The sequence below is a fragment of the Homo sapiens genome, chromosome 6 (genome assembly GCF_000001405.40).
Source record: "Homo sapiens chromosome 6, GRCh38.p14 Primary Assembly".
NCBI lineage: Eukaryota > Metazoa > Chordata > Mammalia > Primates > Hominidae > Homo > Homo sapiens.
The window spans coordinates 108,066,088-108,088,628 of NC_000006.12; the positions used below are offsets into that span (position 1 = coordinate 108,066,088).

Here is a 22,541-nt window from a genome sequence, read left to right on the forward strand (position 1 = left end):
ATTAAAGGGCTAAGTTAGAACAAGGTTATGAGAGGCCGTGAGGGTCATGAGAGTTAGCCAGTGAGAAATTCTTTAAGATTTATGAGGAGGGTGTCATGAAAAGCAGTTTGAGGAATACATCTTTAGGCCGTGATATGTAGGGTGAGGAGGCAGGGAGACTCATTACACTACTTCCATAGATCAGGTATAATGAAAGGATGATGGCAACAGTGAGGACAGAAAGGAAATGATTAATAATCCAAACGATGATGAGGTACTTACTACTTACCAGTTCCAAATGTTCCAACTTCCTTATTTAATCCTCATAACAACTCTATGAAATAGGTAGTGTTAGCTGGGTAGAGGGTAAACTATCAGAGGTGACTGAGAAGGAAGAATTGGAGAGATAAAGAAAAATAAGGAGAGCATGATGTCCTGTAAATCAAGGAAAAGGGAAGGGGTGGTTATTTGTGTCAAATCCTGCTGAGAGAACTGGAGGTACATCTGTCAACACTGGCAGTATTGGTGACACTAACAAGAATGAATTTGATGGAGTCCTTGAGTGTGAAAGTGAGATCAGAGTGGGTTGAACAGGGAATGGAAGATGAGGACATGGGAAGAGTGAACCTAGACAACTGCTGAAGAGTTTGGCCTTGATGGGGAGATAAGAAAGAGAGGTCACTAAAGAGCAATGTGGGACCCATGCGTCATTACCCTGATGCATGGTTTCTTAAAGCATGATATCCACCTATATATGTTTAGGTTTCTCTTCTGGACAGATGTCCCTTTAAAATGGAAACTGTCACATCTTTGTATTCCCAACACCTCGCCAAGTGACCAAAAAATCAATGGTCCTTGCTTATACTTAGAACTCTTAATACTCAAATCTATCCTAACTACTTAGCAGAACCCTAACCATCTTGAAGCCAGCCATTTCCTTTGATCATGCCTGCACCCAGGAAGTCAGGAGCTGCTGGCAAAAAATTAACAACACAGATTAATTCCAAAGTAAATCCATAATCCCAAACCGTACTCCTCACTTTTCTGTCTGCTCATTCTCTCCTTTTTACAACCGCTATTTCAAATCCTCTCCACTCTCCCAGAAACTCTGATCTCTCTCCCACTCTTTACTCTCAAAAGAAGATCTAGCCTCCTGGATAACAGAAGCCTTCGAGCTGAAACTCTAACCTGCCTACCCCTACATGCAACCTCTCCTTCTACCCTCCCATTAAGGTGGGGAAGGCACCTGTCCTTTTCAAGGCCCATCTCTCTGAGGATGCCCTAGATCCCATCTATCCTGCCTTTTCTGGAAACTGACCTTGTCTGCTTCCCACTCCCTCCTACAGAATCTTCACTTTCTCTAAAGGACCCTTACTATCAACATTTAAACATGTCCAGCTCTCTCCCATCTTGGACAAGGAAGAAGGGAAGGCAGGACAGAGGAATGGAGGGACAGGGGAATGGAAAGAAATGATAGAAAGTCAGCCTGGCACCGTGGCTCACGCCTGTATCCCAATACTTTGGGAGGCCGAGGCAGGCAGATCACCTAAGGTCAGGAGTTCGAGACCAGTCCAGCCAACCTGGTGAAACCCCATCTCTACTAAAAGTATAAAATTAGCTGGGTGTGGTGGTGCACACCCATAGTCCCAGCTACTCAGGAGGCTGAGGCTGGAGAATCGCTTGAACCTGGGATGGTGGAGGTTGCAGTGAGCCGAGATTGTGCCATGCACTCCAGCTTGGTTGACAGAGCGAGCCTCTGTCTAAAAAAAAAAAAAAAAAAAAAAATAGAGAAAGAGAAATGAAAGAAAGTCTCTGAGTCCCACATTGCTCTTTAGTGACTTCTCTTTCTTATCTCCCCATCAAGGCCAAACTCTTCAGCAGTTGTCTAGGTTCACTCTTCCCATGTCCTCATCTTCCAATCCCTGTTCAACCCACTCTGATCTCACTTTCGTACCCAAGGACTCCATCAAATTCACTCTTGTTAGTGTCACCAATACTGCCAGTGTTGACAGATATATCTCCAATTCTCTCAGCAGGATTTGACACAAATAACCACCCCTTCCCTTTTCCTTGATTTACAGGGCATCATGCTCTCCTCATTCTTCTTTATCTCTCCAATTCTTCCTTCTCAGTCACCTTTGAGAGTTTACCCTCTATTTAATCTTAAACTCTTAGTGTTCCTACTCATTCTTCAGGTATGTTCACCCATGTCATAATTTCAAATGCCATTTTTATGCCGACACTCCCAAAGGTGTTATCTCTAGTCCAGTCCTCTAGATGTGTATATTCAACCACATAGGCAATCAATATATCCACTTAGAAAGCTCATAAACACCTCAAAATCAACACGTTCAAAACTGAGTTAATGATCTTCGCCCACTAAACAGACTCCTCCCTCCAGCTCAGTAAATGACAACCCTATTCATTAAGCTGCTCTTATTAAAACCCTGGAAATCATCACTACCTTTTCCTTACTCCCCACATTCAATTAACCTCCAAGCCTGTAATTTCTGCCTCCTAAGTATCTCTGAAATCCACCCATTTCTCCACATCATGATGGCCCCCACATAGCCTAGACACCACTGTCTCTCACACCACTGCAACAGTCTCCTAATTCATCTCCCCACATATCTTCTTCCCCTACCCTCCCCAGCCCCTACCCTCTCCATTTTCTGTCACATAGCCAGCATAGCCTTTTAAAGTACAAATCTGATTATGTCATTCCACAGAATTAAACCTTTCACTAACGTCATACTGCTTTAAAATCAAAGTCTAAAATCCTTAACATACCCTACAAGGCCCACATGACCTGGCACCTGTGTACTTCCTTAGGCTCAGACCACGGGTTTCCTTCTTGCTCACTGTGCTGTGTTCTAGACCTCAGATACACCACAAACTCCTTCCCATCTCAGTCTTCATGCCTGCTATTTCTTTACATGTATACCTTCCCTCCCCTGCCTGTGTTCTCTCAAATTGTAGGTGTCTGCTTTAATCACTGACCATTCTACCTACCCCCCAGTCATACTCAAGATCAGCACTCTTGTCATATGCATTGGTAGCATCTGGGTTTTTTAATCAGCAACACTTATCACACATGAATTAAATAATTATTTGTATAATGAGATGCTTAATGTCTGTCTTCAGACTACAAGCTCTGCTCATTCATGCTATATCCCTAGTAGCTACCACAACCTGTACATAATAGGTACTCAATAATTTTTTTGAATGAATGCAGAAGAAATATTACATTTTCTGATCTCTAATGAAAGACACAGATTATTACACTATGTTCTGGCTTTCTCCCTATAGTCCTCAGAATTCATTATTTAATAATCTACAGTAAAAGTATATTGAATACTCACCAAATACATAACCCAAATGACTAGCACTTCACAAAGATACACAGATACATAGATAGATAGAGATAGATAGGTAGATGGATGGATCTATAGATCTAAATTTTAAACACTATCTAAATTTTAAACAAACCAAGTAGAATAGGACAGAGCCTACCAATTCAGAATCTGAGGGGGCAAAAGCATCCTCAGGACCATTCCGATAATGCTGAATCACAATGAAACTATGTCCCTATCAGTTTAAACTAAAAGGAGAAAGTATGACTCTAAGGAAGAGGGAATCCCTCAGTTCTATCATTCAGGTTTCAGAAATCACTGTATTTTTCACCTTGAGATAATGAAACTATATGCGATCCCTCTCCCAGAAATTCTAAAAGGAAGTGACAAGAACCTAGGATTCTTATCAGGGAATTCTATTATAGTTAAACTAATTATATTGCTGTACCACATAAATAGCTTACTAGTTTCTGGCTTTGATTCTTTTTTTCTCCTTATTATACTCCTCTCCTCTCTCAATCAATCCATGTCCATTCACACTAAAGAAGGGTAGAAAGAATGCCTTGAGATTCAGCTTGTAGGTTTCCCCTGATGAACCAGCCTTGCTCTGTTCCGTCATTTTTTTTTTCTTTTTTTGAGATGGAGTCTTGCTCTGTCACCCAGGCTGGAGTGCAGTGGTGCAAACTTGGTTCACTGAAACCTCAGCCTCCCAGGCTCAAGTGATTCTCCCACCTCAGCCTCCTGAGTAGCTGGGATTACAGGCACATGCCACTACTCCTGGCTAATTTTTTATATTTTTAGTAGAGACGGGGTTTTGCCATGTTGGCTAGGCTGGTCTCAAACTCCTGGCCTCAAGCGATCCACCTGCCTCGGCTTCCCAAAGTGCTGGGATTACAGGCATGAGCCACTGCATCTGGCTCTGTTCCCTCCTTTAACTTGGCATTCCTTTCACTCTTTTGTTCTAAATTGCTATGGTACAATTTATAACACTCACTGATATTTTCCTATTTCCCCATATAAGGTATTTTATTTCCCCTAACTATACTGATAGTTTGAGGCCTGAATCTTACCCTTCTTTTCCTTCTTATCCTTTTACCAGCCCAATATTCAAGAATAGTAGGTGCTTGCTAAAAACTGATTTCAATAAAAGACTGAGTCTGAGTCAAACAAAATACATTACACTGGATAGGCTGGGCGTGGTGGCTCACGCCTGTAATCCCAGCACTCTGGGAGGCCGAGCCGGGTGGACCACCTGAGGTCAGGAGTTTGAGACCAGCCTGGCCAACATAGTGAAACCCTGTCTCTACTAAAAATACAAAAATTAGCCAGGCGTGGTGGTGGGCGCCTGTAATCCCAGCTACTTGGGAGGCTGAGGCAGGAGAATCGCTTGAACCTGGGAGGCGAAGGTTGCAGTGAGCCGAGATCCCGCCATTGCACTCCAGCCTGGGTAACAAGAGGGAAACTCCGTCTCAAAAAAAAAAAAAAAGGGCTGGGTGTGGTGGCTCACACCTGTAATCCCAGCACTTTGGGAGGTCGAGGTGTGCAGATCACGAGGTCAGGAGATTGAGACCATCCTGGCTAACACGGTGAAACCCCGTCTTTACTAAAAATATAAAAAATCAGCCGGGCGTGGTGGCGGGCGCCTGTAGTCCCAGCTGCTTGGGAGGCTAAGGCAGGAGAATGGCATGAACCTGGGAGGTGGAGCTTGCAGTGAGCTGAGATTATGCCACTGCACTCCAGCCTGGGCAACAGAGCAAGACTCTGTCTCAAAAAAAAAAGAAAAAGAAAAGAAAATATACTACACTGGATAAATAAACCTCCCCAAGAGACAACTAATTCCTTCAAGTTCACTCATGACACATTTTTCCATAGGTTTTTGTTTTGTTTTGTTTTGGTTTTTTTTTGCAACGGAGTCTTACTCTGTCCCCCAGGTTGGAGAGTGGTGGCACTATCTTGGCTCACTGCAACCTCCACCTCCCGGGTTCAAGCAATTCTCCTGCCTCAGCCTCCTGAGTAGCTGCGCACCACCACACCCGGCTAATTTTTTTTTTTTTTTTTTTTTTTTGTATTTTTAGTAGAGGCAGGGTTTCACCATGTTGGCCAGGCTGGTCTCGAACTCCTGGCCTCAGGTGATCTGCCTGCCTTGGCCTCCCAAAGTGCTGGGATTACAGACACGAGCCACCACACCTGGCCTCATAAGTTCATTATTATACATGATGGTTCAACTCCCAAACCAGTCCATATAGCCTTTTAAATCTATAAAGTACCTCAGAACTGTAGATGTCACACTTTTGAGCTAATGAATCATATCCAGCTCTACTGGGGAAATAAGGCGAGCCGAGACCAAGGCCTAGGATGAGTTGGAGAGAAAATACAAAAAAAGTTTCCCTGCCTCTTTTCACCTGTTTATCCACTTCCTTTCACATCAGGGTGAGTTGAGCTGGGTACCCAGGTTGCTGGTAGAATCTGAGGGAAAGGAAGGGGGTTTCTACAACTCCCCCACTGGGAAGCCTCCTTTGGGTAGTGGGGAATTCATATGGAAATTCACATGCAGATTGGGTGATGCCCATAATACTGCACCCTAGAGTTTGAGGTGCTATTTTTAGCCTCTCTTTAATTCCACAGTACCTACACACATGAGAAAAGCATTTGCTGCCTTCAAAGACCCAAACTTTGCATCATGATCCCTGGCCATTCTGCCCACAATAGCCCTTGTTCTTTAGAGTAAATGGAACCCTAAAACAACTCATCTTAACCACTCAACACTGAATATGATGCTATATCGTATCCTGCTGTAGTTGACAGGGACATGTCTTGGGTACTTTATTTTAAAGTGATAGTAAGATATATATTCCTTGCTATACCCAATGGAAGTGTGCCTGGAAAATACCGCATGTAAGCCTGAATTTATTTACCTCGAAAATATGTCCTTGGCCAGGTGTGGTGGCTCACACCTGTAATCCCAAATCTTTGGGAGGCTGAGGTGGGTGGATTACTTGAGGCCAGGAGTTCGAGAACAGCCTGGTCAACATGGTGAAACCTGTCTCTACTAAAAATACAATAATTAGTTAGGTGTGGCAGTGCACATCTGTAGTTCCAGCTACTCAGGAAGCTGAGGCAGGAGAATCACTTGAACCCAGGAGGCGGAGATTGCAGTGAGCCGAGATGACACCACTGAACTCCATCCAGCCTGGGCAACAGAGCAAGACCTTGTCTCAGAAAAAAAAGAAAAAAGAAAAAAAAAAAAACATGCTCTTTACAGAGAGATTGACCACAGAATTTATTTAATGCAAATAAATTCCCCAGTTATGTAAAATGACAGATTTTTATTTTATTTTTATTTATTTATTTATTGTGAGATGGAGTCTCACTCTGTTGCCCAGGAAGGAGTGCAGTAGTGCAATCTTGGCTCACCCCAACCTTGGCCTTCCAGGCTCAAGTGATTCTTCTGCCTCAGCTTCCCGAGTAGCTGGAACTACAGACGTGTACCGCAATTCTTCTGCCTCAGCTTCCAGAGCAGCTGGGACTACAGGCACGTGCCACCACGCCCGGATAATTTTTGTATTTTTAGTAGAGACGGGGGTTTCACCATGTTGGCCACGCTAGTCTCCAACTCCTGACCTCAGGTGATCCCCCTGCCTCAGCCTCCCAAAGTGCTGGGATTACAGGCATGAGCCACCGCACACAGCCATGACAGATTTATTTTAAATAACAGGCTGACTTAAAGCAGGATCCAACTAGGTACAAATTTATATTTAGTGCAACTATAAACAAGTTTAGACAAGTTTAAATTTATGGAATAATTCCAACCACATTTTCATGAGACTACTTGCTGTCCCCGTAATACAAGAGGAACTTTCTCATTCTCCAATCCCAATGTTATTCCTCATGTTTTTCCTTTACCAAGCATATCCGGCCCACACCTCGTGACTCCCACCAACCCTGACACTCTAATCTTTTCCTAGTCTAAACTTTATAAAGTACTTAGGAGCAGGAATTGTCTGTTTTTCTTTTTAAAATTAAGTGCCTCACAGCAGCTACCACACACCTAGAGAACCCTTAAGGTATGAAGAATGAAGAGCAGTCTTACAATTTCTTAAAAATTTACCTCCCATTTACTTAGAGGTATTACTATGTGTTGTTTTCTAAAACCTCCTTTTATCCCCATTTTACAGATTAGTAAACAGGCACAGAGAATGTAAGTAACTTGCCCATAGTATACCGCTAATAAGCAGAGTGGAACTGGAGTCCTGGCCGCTAGCTAGCTCCAGACTGTTCACATCACTAAGATGAAGTCACAGGCAATATCTCTTTTAATTCTTCCAACAGCCGCATTAGGCAGATGTTCTTTCCACTTTATAGAGGAGGAAACTAAGGTTCTGAGAAGATAATTAATCCAAGGTTACATAGTTAGAAGTTGGTGGACATGAACATTTCTGGCTACAAAGCTCAAATTTCTAACCACTACCAGTGTCTCCACCCCACTTGTTTCAGAAAAGGATCCTTCCTGGCAACTCCAGGTGAAGATGAGAAGAAGCCGTGGTGGAGTGGGTGGAGGAAGAGCAAGAGGGTTGGGGAATCAGGACCCCCAAGAAAACCAATCACACCTATATGAACCAAAGATGTCCAACAGCATTCTTGGAAGCAAAAACCCAAATCCCAAGCCCCATAATGCCACCCCCTTTTTCTGATGACCCAACTCTACAGACTCAGTCCAACCCCTTTTTCTTACTGTTGGGGAAACTGAGGCCCCCAGCGCTGACCATCATTACACCCTCCTCCTTTCCCAACTCTCCTGAGCCACAGTCCCGGACGTGGTCCTGTACCCACCCCCGCGGCTCGGCTGATGTTGTCCATCTTGCTGACGACCTGTTGGAAGAGGGGGTAGCAGGTCTGACAGAGGCGCACGGGCCGGGCGCTGCGCACCAGACACCCTGTCAGCTCTGCGCTGCTGTTGGCGAAGTCCAGCAGGAGCTCCCGGCACTCAGGATCCAGATCCGGCAGGTCCGGGGGCAGCGACAGAGGCCCCAGCCCTCCACCCTGCAGGAGGGACAGGGACAAGTCCTCCACCTCCAGCAACTGCTGCTCCGACAGGAGGTCGTGGAAGACCCTGTGCGGACTGCTGCCGAAGGGGAGCGCGCCCAGGGCCAGCCCCGACCACAGCAGCAGCCCCAGCGGCAGCCACGGCGGCAACGAACACCTCCGCTGCGCGGCTGTCGGGCCCGGCTCCATCACCGGGCTCACACACCCCAGGGAGCCCACCGCCGCCTCTCCGCCCCCAGCCGGCACCGCGGACAGCCGCCGCTTCCGGTTTCCGCGAGCGCAGGCCGAGAGCCGGGTCACGAGGAGGGCGCGTCACGGCCCCGCCCCCTGCGCGCGGCGCCCCGCCCCATTGGCTGCCGGCTGCCTCCGGGCCGCAGGCCTTCGCGCGTGCGGGAGGGCGCCTACCCTGCGGCCGCGCGCTCTCCAGCCGGCGTTAGGCGCGGGGCGGGGCGGAGTGGTGCATTGGGGTATCCGTAGCCGAGGCTCGCCAGCCGGTGACCACGAGCACCCACCGCTTTGGACAATTGCATCTCGGGGGTCCTGACCCTTGAACGCCCAACCCTCTGGGAGTTCCGGGCGTCCTACAAGTTTCTTACCTCGCTGGACCGACGACGGCCTCCGCTGTGGAAATGGCCGTCGGCTGCGTTCGCAGAGAAACCCCGCTGGCCTGTGCCTCGGCAGATTTTCTGCATGGTGTTCCTTAGCGTAGTTTTTTCCTCATCCCATTTGGAGAGAGTAATAATGCCCGTTGGTTATTATAGGTGGTGGAGACTAGCGGTTTCCAAGCTTTTTGTTTTTGTTTTTAAAAAAACTCTCAACTGTCTGCCTCAGCGTTGTCAGAACTCTGTGAGATGAGGGAAATATTCTACATCTGCGTTATTAAGGCAGCCACTGGCCACATGTGTGGTGTTGAGCCGGCTGAGGAACTGAATTTTTAATTTAATTTAGGGCCGGCGCGGTGGCTCACGCCTGTAATCCCAGCACTTTGGGAGGCCGAGGCAGGCAGATCGCTTGAAGCCAGGAGTTGGAGACCAGCCTCGCCAACATGGCGAAACCCCGTATCTACTAAAAATACAAAAATTAGCCGCTGGGCGTGGTGGCGCAAGCCTGTAGTCCTAGGTTGAGCGGGGAGGATGGCTTGAGCCAGGAGGTCGAGGCTGCAGTGAGCCGAGATCGCGCCACTGTACCCCAGCCTGCACGACAAAGTGAGACTCCATCTCAAAAGTAAAAAGTATTTAACTTAAATGTAAGTAGCCACATCTGTGTAGTGGCAACTGTACTTGACGTAAGTCTGGTCCTACAGTGGCCAACAAGCAGGTTTGCTTGGAACTGAAGGGGTACCAGGGACGCAGCGCGTTCAGTGCTAAAGCCCAGGAAATCCTGGACAAACTGCTCAACTTGAAACTCCTATCCAGTTTCTGACATGCCCGAGGCAATAGCAGGGGACACTCTAAAAAGCGTCCTGATACCGTTGCCAGTCTGTAAAAAGAATTTAAGCTCATAACCTGGAAAACAGTTTTCTGACAAGTATCTGACCAACCAGGTTGGTAGAAAATTATTTCCGGGCTTTGTGTCATCCTGCTTTTCAGGGTTGTAATTTTTGCCTTGTAAATTGCAGAGCTGTTGCACTAAAGTCTACTTAGCTTAGGGTCCTAATTTATGTTTCTGAGGGTTCTTCAAAAACTTTTTTGTTGTTGTTGTGTATTTTGTTTGGTTTGGTTTTGAGACATAGTCTCGCTAGACTGCCCAGGATGGCCTCGAACTCCTAGGTTCAAGGGATCCTCCTGCCTCGGCCTGCCAAACAATTGGACTACAGGCACAGGCTGCTGTGCCCAGCCTGGGGGTTCTTATAGTTACTTTTTACCCCGTCTGTTTGGTTATTGTTTTATGTTCCTAAATTTGCTTGGGATAGCTAAATTTTGTTTCATTTTTGTTACTAAGAAACTGAATAGTAGGAAATTTGATTTGTGTAACAATAAACGTATTTCCAAAAGAGAAAATAAGTTGTCTTAAGTTTTGCAAAAGTCATCATGTAACTCTTAGGTCTTTCTATGTATTAGAATTATCTTTCTTTTAAATTCTTTCAAGCACCATCCTGTGTTGCAGGTGGATGTGTAAATTGTTAACTTCTATGGAAATCAATGTGCAGAACCAACAACCTTGCAAATGCACAAGCTCTTTGATGCAGCAAGTTCACAACCTTGTCATAGACACTTATTCATTACAATATTGTTTGTAGTGGTAAAAGGATGGCTTCAAAAAGCATGTTAAGGGGCCGGGCACGGTGACTCATGCCTGTAATCCCAGCACTTTGGGAGGCCGAGGCGGGCGGATCACCTGAAGTCAGGAGTTCGACACCAGCCTGGCCAACATGGTGAAACCCCGTCTCTACTAAAAATACAAAAATTAGCCGGGCATGGTGATGCATGCCTATAATCCCAGCTACTCAGGAGACTGAGGCAGGAGAATCTCTTGAACCTGGGAGGCAGAGGTTGCAGTAAGCCAGGATCACACCACTGTGCTCCTGCTCAAAAAAAAAAAAAAAAACTTAAGGAAATTACAGACACTTTCCCTCTTCCTTTCCTTTCCATTCCCGGAACAATTCAATCTTAAAGGTCAAGTAGAGCAAGATAGGCATCGGTGCTTGGTAGGAATGGGGTGTCAGAGGCCCAGAGAGAGGTGTCAGAGCATAGGTAAGCTGAAGAGGACAGTGGTGTGAGGGAGGGTGGCAGCATCAGCCTGATGCAGAGTATTGGGTTCTCAGTGGATAAGAAGGGTCTCCATGCAGAGGATTGGGCAGCAGTGACTGGGAGGTTGCTTACATTCAGAAGGATTGATGGAATCAGTAAATATATTAAGAATAATTGGAGTTCAGTTTCAGACTGTCAGAGAAGAAAGTTACAAATATGAAAAGAGAGAAATGAACTCTAATGTTGGATTAAAATTAGAAATAGTGCAAATTCATAGCTTAAAATACATAGTCATCCCTTGATACCAGCAGGGGAATGGTTTCAGGACCCCCCACAGATGCCAAAATCTTCAGATCCTCAAGTCCCTTACATAAAACACCATAGTATTTGCATATAACCTAACACATTTCCTTCCGTATACTCTTTTTCTTTTTTCTTACATGCTATTAAAGCATCCTCTTTATACTTTTAAATCATATCTAGATTACTTATAGTACCTAATACAATATACATGCTATGTAAATAGTGGTTATACTATGTTGGGTTTTTAATTTATATTATTTTTTATTGTTACTTTTTTTCTACTAGGAGATACTACTTTTTTAAAAATTATGGTAAAATATACATAACATAAAAGTTACCATTTTTAATGTACTTTCAGTGGCATGTTACTTTTTATTGTGGTTTTATTTTTCTCTTTTTTTGTAGAGATGGGATCTTCCTGTGTTGCCCAGACTGGTCTCAGACACCTGGGCTCCAGTGATCCTCCCACTTCAGCCTCCCAAAGTCCTGGGATTAGCAGTATGAGCCGCTGTACCCAGCCCTCAAATATTTTAGACCTGCAGTTGGTCGAATCCCAAGATGCAGAACCCATGCATACAGAGGGCCAACTATATATAGTATAGAAATAAATACAGATGTAAATTTATGTGTATACATTTTATATGTGTATGTACATATATGAATATATGGTATATGTATACATATATATGTACTTGTGTGGGTGTACTTCCTCTGGCTTTGTCCACTTAGAACACTTAGTAGCAAAGGTACCCCAGTGATAATGAGCATGCATAATGCCCAGATCTTGGATTTGAAGTATCATTCTCCACTAAAAGGAACCAAGGATCCTTGGAGAAATGGCTGATTCAGAAAAAGCACAAATTGAGACTGGATCATCTTGTGCCAGAAAGTAAGGAAGTGCTCAAAGAATAATGTTGGAAACATGTGAAGGGCATACAGAAACAGCTTGAATGGACTCCCGCTGGTCAAATCTGAGTCACTCTCAGCATTGAAATAATGATGGTTAACAAACTATAACCCATTACATAAAACCACAAGCTCATAGTGATCAATTTAAATAATAGATTGATAAGGACTAATACATTTACATATTTTCATAGATTCTCCCCACCAAATACTTATTAATTACAAATGGGGAAAAAGGAGTAAATTTACAGTGGAAAACCTTGTCCAGTCCTATGTTAATCAAATGATCAACATGAACATCATCATAATGGAACATATACAAGTTGTGTGCATCTGATAGGCTGCAATTAGAAGAATACAGTGTCAGTTCTGTTATATTCCTGCCAAAGATGCATAATCTGATTCTAATCATGAGGGAAGTGTCAGACAAATCAAATTAAAGTTCATTATATAAAATATCTCGACTATAATCTTCAAAAGTGTTACAGCTACAAAAGTCAAGGAAAGATTGAGGAACTGCACCTGACAGGACATTACTGGGACAACTAGCAAAATTTGAATAGGGTCTGAGAATTAGATGGTAGTTATGTACATTGCTGATGAGATTAATGATTATGAGAGAAGATTATATTCATCATGATACAATAGCCCCATAGTGTAAGAATAAGGAAAGGTCTTGTCTTGAATGTAAACCTGATTTAAAAAAAAAAAAAGTAATGCTATTGCCTAAATTCAGATCCTTTGCATCTCTTGTCTACGATATTGTAACAGCAAAAACTAGCAATCAAAGGGAAACGTCTGGAAAACCAGAAAAGAAGATGAGAAATTGACCTACGATGCTACCTCACATTCCTCATGTAAATTCAAAATGTTAATCAAGACTCTGTGAGACTTTCAAAAAAAATGTTTTCATGAGAAATTGTTAAGAAAAATTACCTCGAATTTGGAAATAAAGTAAAAAACAATCAGCATACTGGGGCATATTTTCTTATTCTTTCTTTGTCTTTTTCATATGGATTAATTAAAAAACCTTGTCTTTGAGCTCTGAAGTTCTTTCTTCTGCTTGTCAATTCTATTGCTGAGACTTTCCAGAACATTTTGCATTTCTACAATTTTTGCATCCATTGTTTCCTGAAGTTTTGATTGTTTTGTATTTATGCTATTTCACTGACGATTTCTCCCCTCATTTCTTGTATCATTTTTTATTTCCTTAAATTGGACTTTGCTTTTCTCTGGTGCCTCCTTGATTTTAGCTTAATAACTGACCTTCTGATTTCTTTTTCAGGTAAATCAGGGATTTCTTCTTGGTTTGGATCCATTGCTGGTGAGCTAGTGTGATTTTTTTGTGGGTGTTAAAGAACCTTGTTTTATCATATTACCAGAATTGTTTTTCTGGTTCCTTCTCAGTTAGGTAGGCTGTGTCAGAGGGAAGGTCTAGGGCTCAAGGCTGCTGTTCAAATTCTTTTGTCCCATGGGGTGTTCCCTTGATGAAGTACTCTCTCCCTTTTCCTAGGGATGTGGCTTCCTGAGAGCTGAGCTGTTGTGATTGTTATTTCTCTTCTGGATCTAGCCACCCAGCAGGTCTACCAAGCTCTGGGCTGGTACTGGGGATTGTCTGCACCGGGTTCTGTGATGTGAACAGTCTGCAGGTGTCTCAGCCATGGATATCAGCACCTGCTCTGGAGGAGGTGGCAGGGGGGTGAAATGGACTCTGTGAGGGTCCTTAGTTTTGGTTGTTTAATGCACTATTTTTGTGCTGATTGGCCTCCTGCCAGGAGGTGGCACTTTGAAGAGAGCATCAGCTGTGGTAGTATAGGGAGGATCAGCTGGTGGGCAGAGCCCTAGAACTCAGGAGAGTATATGCCCTTTGTCTTCAGCCACCAGGGTGGGTAGGGAAGGAGACCATCAGGTTGGGTCAGGGTTAGGCCTGTCTAAGCTCAGGCTCTCCTTGGGTGGGTCTTGCTGCGGCTTCTGTGGGGAATGGGGATGTGGTTCCCAGGTCAATGGAGTTATGTTCCCAGTAGGATTAAGGCTGCCTCTGCTGTGTCATGCAGTTAGTCAAGGAAGTGGGAGAAAGCTGGCAGTCACAGGCCTTACCCACCTCCCAAGCAACCCAAAAGGCTGGTCTCACTCCCACTGTGCACCCCCCCAACAGCACCAAGTGAATTTCCAGGCAGTGGGAGAGCAGGGCTGAGAGCTTGCCCCAGGCTACCAGCCTCCCACTGTGAAAGCCAGCTGGGTTTTTGTTCCTTTCAGCCTGTGAAGTCTGCATTCCAGATTCATGACCTCCACCGGGTTCTGGCCAGGAGACTTCACATTCAGTTGGAATTGTTACAAAGTTCAGCTAGAGGTTTCCTTCTCCCTGTGGTCTTTTCTCTGGCAGCCCTCCTCAAGGACCCCTGTGAGACAAGGCAGAAATGGGTACCCAGGGGACCCAGAGAGCCCACAGGGCTTTTCCTGCTGCTTCCTTTACCCCTGTATTTTGCTCTGCTCTCTAAATTGACTCAGCTCCAGGTAAGGTCAGAATATTCTCCTGTGATCCAGACCTTCAGGTTCCCCAGTGAGGGTATGTGTTCAGGGGTGGACAGTTCTCTTTTCCCACTACCACAGCTTGGGCATTCACAGTATTTGGGTTGTCTCCAGTGTCCTACAGGAGTCATCCGCTTTCTTCAGAGAGTCTGTGGGTTTTCTCAGCTTTCCTGGTTTATTCCTGCAGTAGTTCTGGAGCAAAAGGTTACAGTGCGAGTCTCCACATACTGCTCTGTCTGTCTGCGTGGTAGTTGCAATCTAGTCCCGCCTCCCGTCCACCATGATCCTCTATGCTGTCCAGCAACCTAATTCTAACATTACTTTTTCAGTGCCTATACCTGGTTTGAGAGACATTGAGTTAATATTAATGAGTTAATAAACATTCGACACATTTTCATTCTATATTTGTATGAGTCACATTTTTAACTTTTTGAAAATTATACTTTGACAATTTTTCCCATTAAAACGTGGAATAGTGGGGAAGCAAGAATTTAGGCCAAGAAGGTAGTCGAAGATGACCAGAAAAGGCCCAGGAACCAAGGCCAATAAAACAGTCTCCCTATTGATACTCTTTCTCTCTCATGGATGGTTTATTCTAACTACAGCAGACAAAGTGATCCTTTCAAAACCTAAGTTGGGTTATGTCAGTTTTTTTGTTTTGACCCCACCAGTGGCTACAGATATCACCCAAAGTTAAAGCAAAGCTCTTGTTATGCCCTAGAAGAATCTGGGATCTGCTGCTTTTATCAGCATTCTCTTTTCCCCAACCTGCTTTATTTTTTTTCCATAGCACTTAGCACCATACGGAATCCTATACACTTGTTTATTTCTGTCTCCCCGCACTGGAATTTAAGTTCCTTGAGAGCAAAGACTGTGTTGTCCACTGCTCTCTCAGTGCTTAGAACAATGGCATGAAATAGATGCTCAATAAATATTTATTGAAATATGATTTCCTTTAGAGAGGGGTAGAATATAAGCAGTTTGAGGCTCGAAAAGAAGGTATGAAATAATTATTCTGGAAAAAATAAACTTACGAAAAAATAAATGTATTAGGTATATGTAATACCATTGCCAGGCAATATTGAATGCCTATTTGAGATCCGTGGGCACAGTTTTAAGGTATAATCAATAGACCTAATTAAGTGTTCTCGTCAGCAATGTTTAGTTGTTCAGGTGACAGTGTAGAGCAGCATAATGGTTGGGCTTAAAATTGTTGGGACATTGCCTAGGCCAGTATGATGAAAGGAGAGTGCACCATATCACCTTACACATCCCACCTGACCCAGTTTCCAATGCCTTCCCACCTTCCCAAACCGTTCCACTGGGTCCTTTGTAACTCATGATCTATCATCTGTAATCTCTTTTCTTCAATATCTTCTCTAAACCGTCCCTTTACCCTCTTTGATGGAACAAAAGCTGACTATCTCTTGATGACCTCACTTTTGCTATGCTTCATGGCCTCTATAGATTTTGTGGAGCTTCCTCAGGAGCAGCCCCTAGTTTGAGGGTAAGAGGAGCTCAGTGAGCATTCCAGTCCCCAAGCAGAGCAGCCCACCTTGACCTGCTTTCATGATTGGAATTCCACAGAAGATTATTTTCAAGTTTCCCCTAGGGGAAAAAATAGTTTGGAAACCACTGTTTTGTTACATTTTGCAGTGGGCTAATGTCTGCTGTGTGTCTCCAGTCCCCATTTCCTAGGTTATCCTGATCCTGTTCCATCACTGTGCATTGGTATATGAGGAGAGAGAGCTTAGCCTTTCAGCACATAGGTCTCTGGATCTGAAGGAGCCACATTTGAACCTGTTGTAGAAACTATCCCACACACTACCCAAAGATTCTAGACTTTGAACTTTATACTATGACGTGATTGGAGTTTTGGGTTGTCTCCCTTGGAAGAGGTTTATTACCACAGTAAAACCTAGTCACCCAAATACACCTTTGCTGGTTTCTGAGGTTATCCTGATTCCAGACTTTGAGATTCTAGACTGAGCTTTATACTATGACATGGTCAGACTTTTGGGTTGTCTCCCTTGGAAGAGGTTTATTACCACCACAGCAAAACCTAGTCATCCAAATATATAGTTCTTTGCTGATTTCCTCTCTGCTATTTTCTCTGGTTCACTCTTTTGGAACGTTTTTTTATTTGGATGTTAAATCTTTTTTCTTTTTTTTGGAGACAGGGTCTCATTCTGTTGCCCAGGCTGGAGTGCAGTGGCAAAATCATAGCTCACAGTAGCCATGAACTCCTGAGCTTAAGGGATCCTCGGCCGTCTAAGTAGCTGGAACTACGGACACATGCCACCATGCCCAGCTAAAATTTTTGTGTTTATTTTTTGTAGAGATGGGGTCTGACTGTGTTGCCCAGGCCAGTCTCGAATTCCTGGCCTCAAGCAATCCTCCTACCTCTGCCTTCCAAAGCTCTGGAATTATAGGTGTGAGCCACCAGGCCCAGCCAGATGTTAAACCTTATAGTGGAGATTGCTCAACTTCCTCCAACATCCATTCTCTCCTTCCTTTTAATGATACAACTCCTGAGATTTAGCTGAACATGGCAGGACTACATGCTCCAACCTCCCTTGCAGCTAAGTGTGAACTGAAGTGCGTATATCTTACTAGTCATATCTTTAAGTCATGAATTGTATCCGCCCTCTTCCTGTTAGGAAATGTTTTTTGTTTTGTTTTGTTTTTGAGATACAGTCTTGCTCTGTCACCCAGGCTGGAGTGTAGTGGTGCAATCTCAGCTCACTACAACCTCTGACCCCTGGGTTCAAGCAATTCTTCTGCCTCAGCCTCCCGAGTAGCTGGGATTATAGGCGCGTACCACTGTTCCTGGCTAATTTTTATATTTTCAGTAGAGACAGGGTTTGGCCATGTTTGCCAAACTGGTCTCAAACTCCTGACCTCAGGTGATCCACCCGCCTCAGCCTCCCAAAGTGCTGGGATTACAGGTGTGAGCCACTGCGCCTGGACAGAAAATGTTAATAACTGAAACATCAGGCCTGGGTACAGAGATGGATATGGATGCAACATGTTTAGCATGACGGAGCCAGCTGGTCATAAAGCAGAGTCATCTACCTACTCTAGGCCACAGAGGAATGAACTTCTGTCCTATTAATGCCACTATATTTTGGAGTCTCTGTTACAGCAACTTAAGCTGATCCTAATGCAGTCCTCCTAGATGGTTACTTAAATTTTCTCAACTTCTAATGTTCTCCTATTTTTTCATCTCTTTGTATATTTTTATTGTACTTCCTAGAAATTTCATTAACTTTGTTCTTCAATGCTTCTACTGAGTTTTTTCATTTCTGCTATACTTTTAATTCCCAAAATTTCTTTTTTTTTTTTTTTTTTTGAGACGGAGTCTCGCTCTGTTGCCCAGGCTGGAGTGCAGTGACACGATCTTGGCTCACTGCAAACTCTGCCTCCCAGGTTCAAGTGATTCTCCTGCCTCAGCTTCCTGAGTACCTGGGATTACAGGCACACACCACCATGCCCAGCTAATTTTTGTATTTTTAATAGAGACAGGGTTTTGCCATGTTGGTCAGGCTGGCCTCAAACTCCTGACCTCAGGTGATCCGCCCTCCTTGGCCTCCCAAAATGCTAGGATTATGTAGATGTTACGTCCTTTTAAAGTTTTTTTCTTCCTCCTAGCCCGTTTCCTCCAAGTTACTTTTATTTATTTATTTTATTTTATTTTTTGAAATAGAGTCTCGATCTGTCACCCAGGCTGGAGTGCAGAGGCACGATCTTGGCTCACTGAAACCTCCACCTCCCGGGTTCAAGCAATTTTCCTGTCTCAGCCTCCCAAATAGCTGGTACTACAGGCGGCCGCCACCACACCCAGCTAATTTTTGTATTTTTAGTAGAGACAGGGTTTCATCATATTGGTCAGGTTGGTCTCGAACTCCTGACCTCAGGTGATCCGCCCACCTCAGCCTCCCAAAGTGCTGGGATTACGGACGTGAGCCACCACAGCCGGCCAAGTTACTTTTATTCCTGTTTGTTTTTATCTATACTTTTAAGTGTCTAGTGAACCTTGGCTTTCTGCTTACATTTAAGAGAGAGGCACTACAAAGCTGAATGGAAACTCTGTGTTCATGGATAGTTCTTTTAGACTATGAGTTTCAGTATAGGCCAATGGTTCTCAATGGGGACAGTTTTGCTCCCCACCCTTGTGGTATATTTAGCAATGTGTGGAAACATTTTTGGTTGTCAAAACTGGGAGAAGGGTATGCTACTAGCATCTAATGAATAGAGACAAAGAACACTGCAAAACATCTTAAAATGCACAGGATGGTCACCCAAAACAAAGCATTGAAAACATCAGTATTTTAAATCGTTTCTCTTGGGCAGATTATCCTCTTCACAGAAGATTCTGCCAGCATGCTACCTTGCTGCCAGTAATCCCTGATCCTGGCAGTGGAAAAAAGCTGGCAACTCAACTTCAGTGAATGAACTTTTACTTAATCTCCCTGTTTTAGCAAAATGTCCCTGCCCTCAAATATGCTTATGTCTCTTGGTCCAGACTCCCCTTGCTTCACTTTCTCCAGATATCAGGAATTTAGTGGTATTCTGCTGGAGTTGGGATGGGACATAGAATAGTAGGGAGGGTATTGTAAATAGCCTTTCAATCATCTTGTTTTGGTTCTTCTTTTATCTACATTTTCAGAGGTACCTGATGTCTTTCCACTTCTTGGGCTCTTTGAGGGTTCTATAATATAATTCAGTTGCCTTTTTTTCCTACTACAGGCATACAAATTAGCTTTTCTGCTTAGGTTTTGCTAAGTCAGTTTTTATTAGTCCACCTGCTTTCCCGCTTCCAATATATTTTTGAAGAGATGGGGTCTTGCTATGTTGCCCAGGCTGAACTTAAACTCCTGTGCTCGGCCAGGCGCAGTGGCTCACGCCTGTAATCCCAGCACTTTGGGAGGCCAAGGCAGGCGGATCACGAAGTCAGGAGATCGAGACCATCCTGGCTAACATGGTGAAACCCTATCTCTACTAAAAAATACAAAAAATTAGCCAGGCATGGTGGCAAGCGTCTGTAGTCCCAGCTAATCAGGAGGCTGAGGCAGGAGAATGGTGTGAACCTGGGAGGCGGAGCTTGCAGTGAGCCGAGATCGCGCCACTGCACTCCAGCCTGGGTGACAGAGCGAGACTCCATCTCAAACAAACAAACAAACAAACAAAAAACTCCTGTGCTCACGTGATCCTCCTGCCTCAGCCTCCCAAGTAGCTGGGACTACAGGTATGCATCACCATCCCAAGAACCAATATTTTTACTTTTTCTTTTCTCCTGTTCTCTATGTTCTTATGTGTCTTTTTAAAAATTATTTTACAAATCTTGTGGGATTTCAGGAAGGAACAGATCTAATCATGTGTTCAACTTGCTGTCTTAAGTGGCAGTCTTTTCTGTGTTTTACCTTGCTCTTTATTAAAGTCAGCATGTATATCTTATGTCACCTCCAGCCATGAGATGATCTTATGGAGAATGTGGACTGAGTCCTATTTATATTTGTATACTTAGAAGCACTTAGCCTGATGTCTTGTACAGAGAAGGTACCCAAAACATTTGTTACATTGAATTTGTGTAATACAAATGCACATCTGCTTTAAGTGCTTTTCAGATTGATACATCAATGGAAACATATTTTTATTTTTGTAATTCTTTAATGGGCAAAACAATGCTGTAAGTAAATGCCCATAAGCTTTGCATGCCTGAGCAGAATGACCTGAACACATGGGACATGTAAATCATGTTGTTCATTCATGATACTTTGCAAAAGTCTAATCTACTCACTCCAGTGGCCAATCTCATTTCCAGAACTCTCATCTGAAGATAGATTTTTTTTCACCTGAAGATAATCTTATAGCTTCGGCATTAGGAGATATTTTTAAAACAATGAAGTTGAATCACATTTACTTGACAGACTCTCTGGTGGTAAATGTATGTTTCTAATAGATGAGTGGTATTAGAACTTTGAGTTTGTATCAACATAATTTTAATAAATATTTGTTCAATTTACAAATGAAAATATACATTAAAAATATGTGTGCTTCAGTAGATATATATTATCAGTGACCAAAGTCTGATCACCGAACCCATTTCCTAATATAACAGAAACTCTCTTGTTAATTAGATGCCTAATATGTGGTACTATTTCTTGGAAAGCCAGCATTCATAAGTAGAAATGAGAATGGCGCCACTCACTATTACTCCTGGTGACCCACTAGCAAAATTTTTGCTTCCTGTTCTAATGACTTTATGCCCTGCTGGGCTAGAGGTCTACAGTCCCAAAAGGAGGAGTGCATCCACTAGGAGATACAAGAATGACGGAATTGGAATTTAAGATTGCCACCTGGCCACTTTGGGCTCCCTCTAAATCAATGGTTAAAGAAGAGAGTTACTGTGCTGGCTAGGGTGATTGATCCTAACTACCAAGGGGAAATTGGACTACCACTCCACAATGGAAGTAAGGAAGAGTATGTCTGAAATACAGGAGATCCCTTAGGGTATGTCTTAGTATTATTATGCCCTATTATTAAGATTGATGGAAAACTATAACAAGCTAATCTAGGCAGGATTGTGAATGGCCCAGGCCTTTCAGGAATGGAGGTTTGGATTGCCCTACAGGTAAAGGATCACCACCAGCTGAGATGCTTGCTGAGATCAAAGATAATACAGAATGGGCGGTAGAAGGTAGTTATAAATACGAGCTATGACCATGTGACCAGTTATAGAAATTAGGAATATAATTATTATGAGTATTTCTCCATATTTTGTTATGAATATGTATATATATATACATATACACATATATATATACACATACACACACACACACACACACACACACCCCAAATATCTTTATTTTCTTCTCTCTTTTATTCTCTTATAAGATATATTGACTTTAGGCTGGGCGCAGTGGCTCATGCCTGTAATCCCAGCACTTTGTGAGGCTGAGGTGGGTGGATCACCTGAGGTCAGGAGGTCAAGACCAGCCTGACCAACATGGCAAAACCCCATCTCTACTAAAAATACAAAAAAATTAGCCAGGTGTTGTGGTGTGTGCCTGTAATCCCAGCTACTCCAGAGGCTGAGACATGAGAATCGCTTGAACCCAGGAGGCAGAGGTTGCAGTGAGTGAGCCGAGATCGTGCCATTGCACTCCAGCCTGGGCAACAAGAGCGAAACTCCATCTCAAAAAAAAAAAAAAAAAGATATATTGACTTCATATTATCATAGTATAATATAATATGTAAGTATTGTTAATTTTATATCATAATATTTGTTATAAAATATCAAGGAGAAGAGTTAAACATCACTCAAGGACTTTATCTCCTTTTCTGGAATAGAGGTTAGTGCATGTTCAGTTGTATGAAGATAGTTGTGTCATACTAGGTATAATTATGATCTTGTTATTGTCTTTATTTGGAGATACATATAGATGCCAGGTTAACAAGGAATGGATTTATGATGGTTAATTTATTTGATCAAATGTCATTCTGGGTGCATCTGTGAGAGCATTTGTGGATGAAATTAACATTTGAATTGGTAGACTGAGTAAAGCAGATTGCCTTTCCTAGTGTGGGTGGGCTTCATTCATTCAGTCCATTGAAGACCTGAAGAGAATAAAAATGCTGAATAAGAGGGAACTCCTCCTTCCTGACTGTTGAGCTCGTACATCAGTTTTTTCTGCCTTAGGACTCAAACTGAAACATTGACTCTTTTTGAATC

At 43.4% G+C, this 22,541-nt stretch overlaps 1 protein-coding gene across 3 annotated transcripts in view, besides 2 other annotated features; it reads right to left on the reverse strand.

Moving 5' to 3' along the window:
- The window catches only part of OSTM1 (osteoclastogenesis associated transmembrane protein 1), a 33,333-nt gene extending 24,679 nt beyond the window's left edge, over positions 1 to 8,654 (reverse strand). For all 3 annotated transcript variants that reach the window (NM_014028.4, XM_047418679.1, XM_047418680.1), the window contains exon 1: positions 8,163 to 8,654. In NM_014028.4, the coding sequence (NP_054747.2) occupies positions 8,163 to 8,564 (402 nt within the window). In that variant the 5' untranslated portion in view covers positions 8,565 to 8,654. The remainder of the gene's footprint in view (positions 1 to 8,162) is intronic.
- Positions 8,425 to 8,864: a silencer, noted in NCBI's record as "silent region_17446". NCBI's record gives its function as "represses an Ori minimal core promoter by ATAC-STARR-seq in GM12878 lymphoblastoid cells {active_cell/tissue: GM12878}" and the evidence as "EXISTENCE:reporter gene assay evidence [ECO:0000049][PMID:35858748]".
- Positions 13,740 to 14,409: an enhancer, noted in NCBI's record as "H3K27ac hESC enhancer chr6:108401031-108401700 (GRCh37/hg19 assembly coordinates)". NCBI's record gives its function as "activates a minimal SCP1, AML or CMV promoter by ChIP-STARR-seq in primed H9 embryonic stem cells {active_cell/tissue: H9 hESC(primed)}" and the evidence as "EXISTENCE:reporter gene assay evidence [ECO:0000049][PMID:30033119]".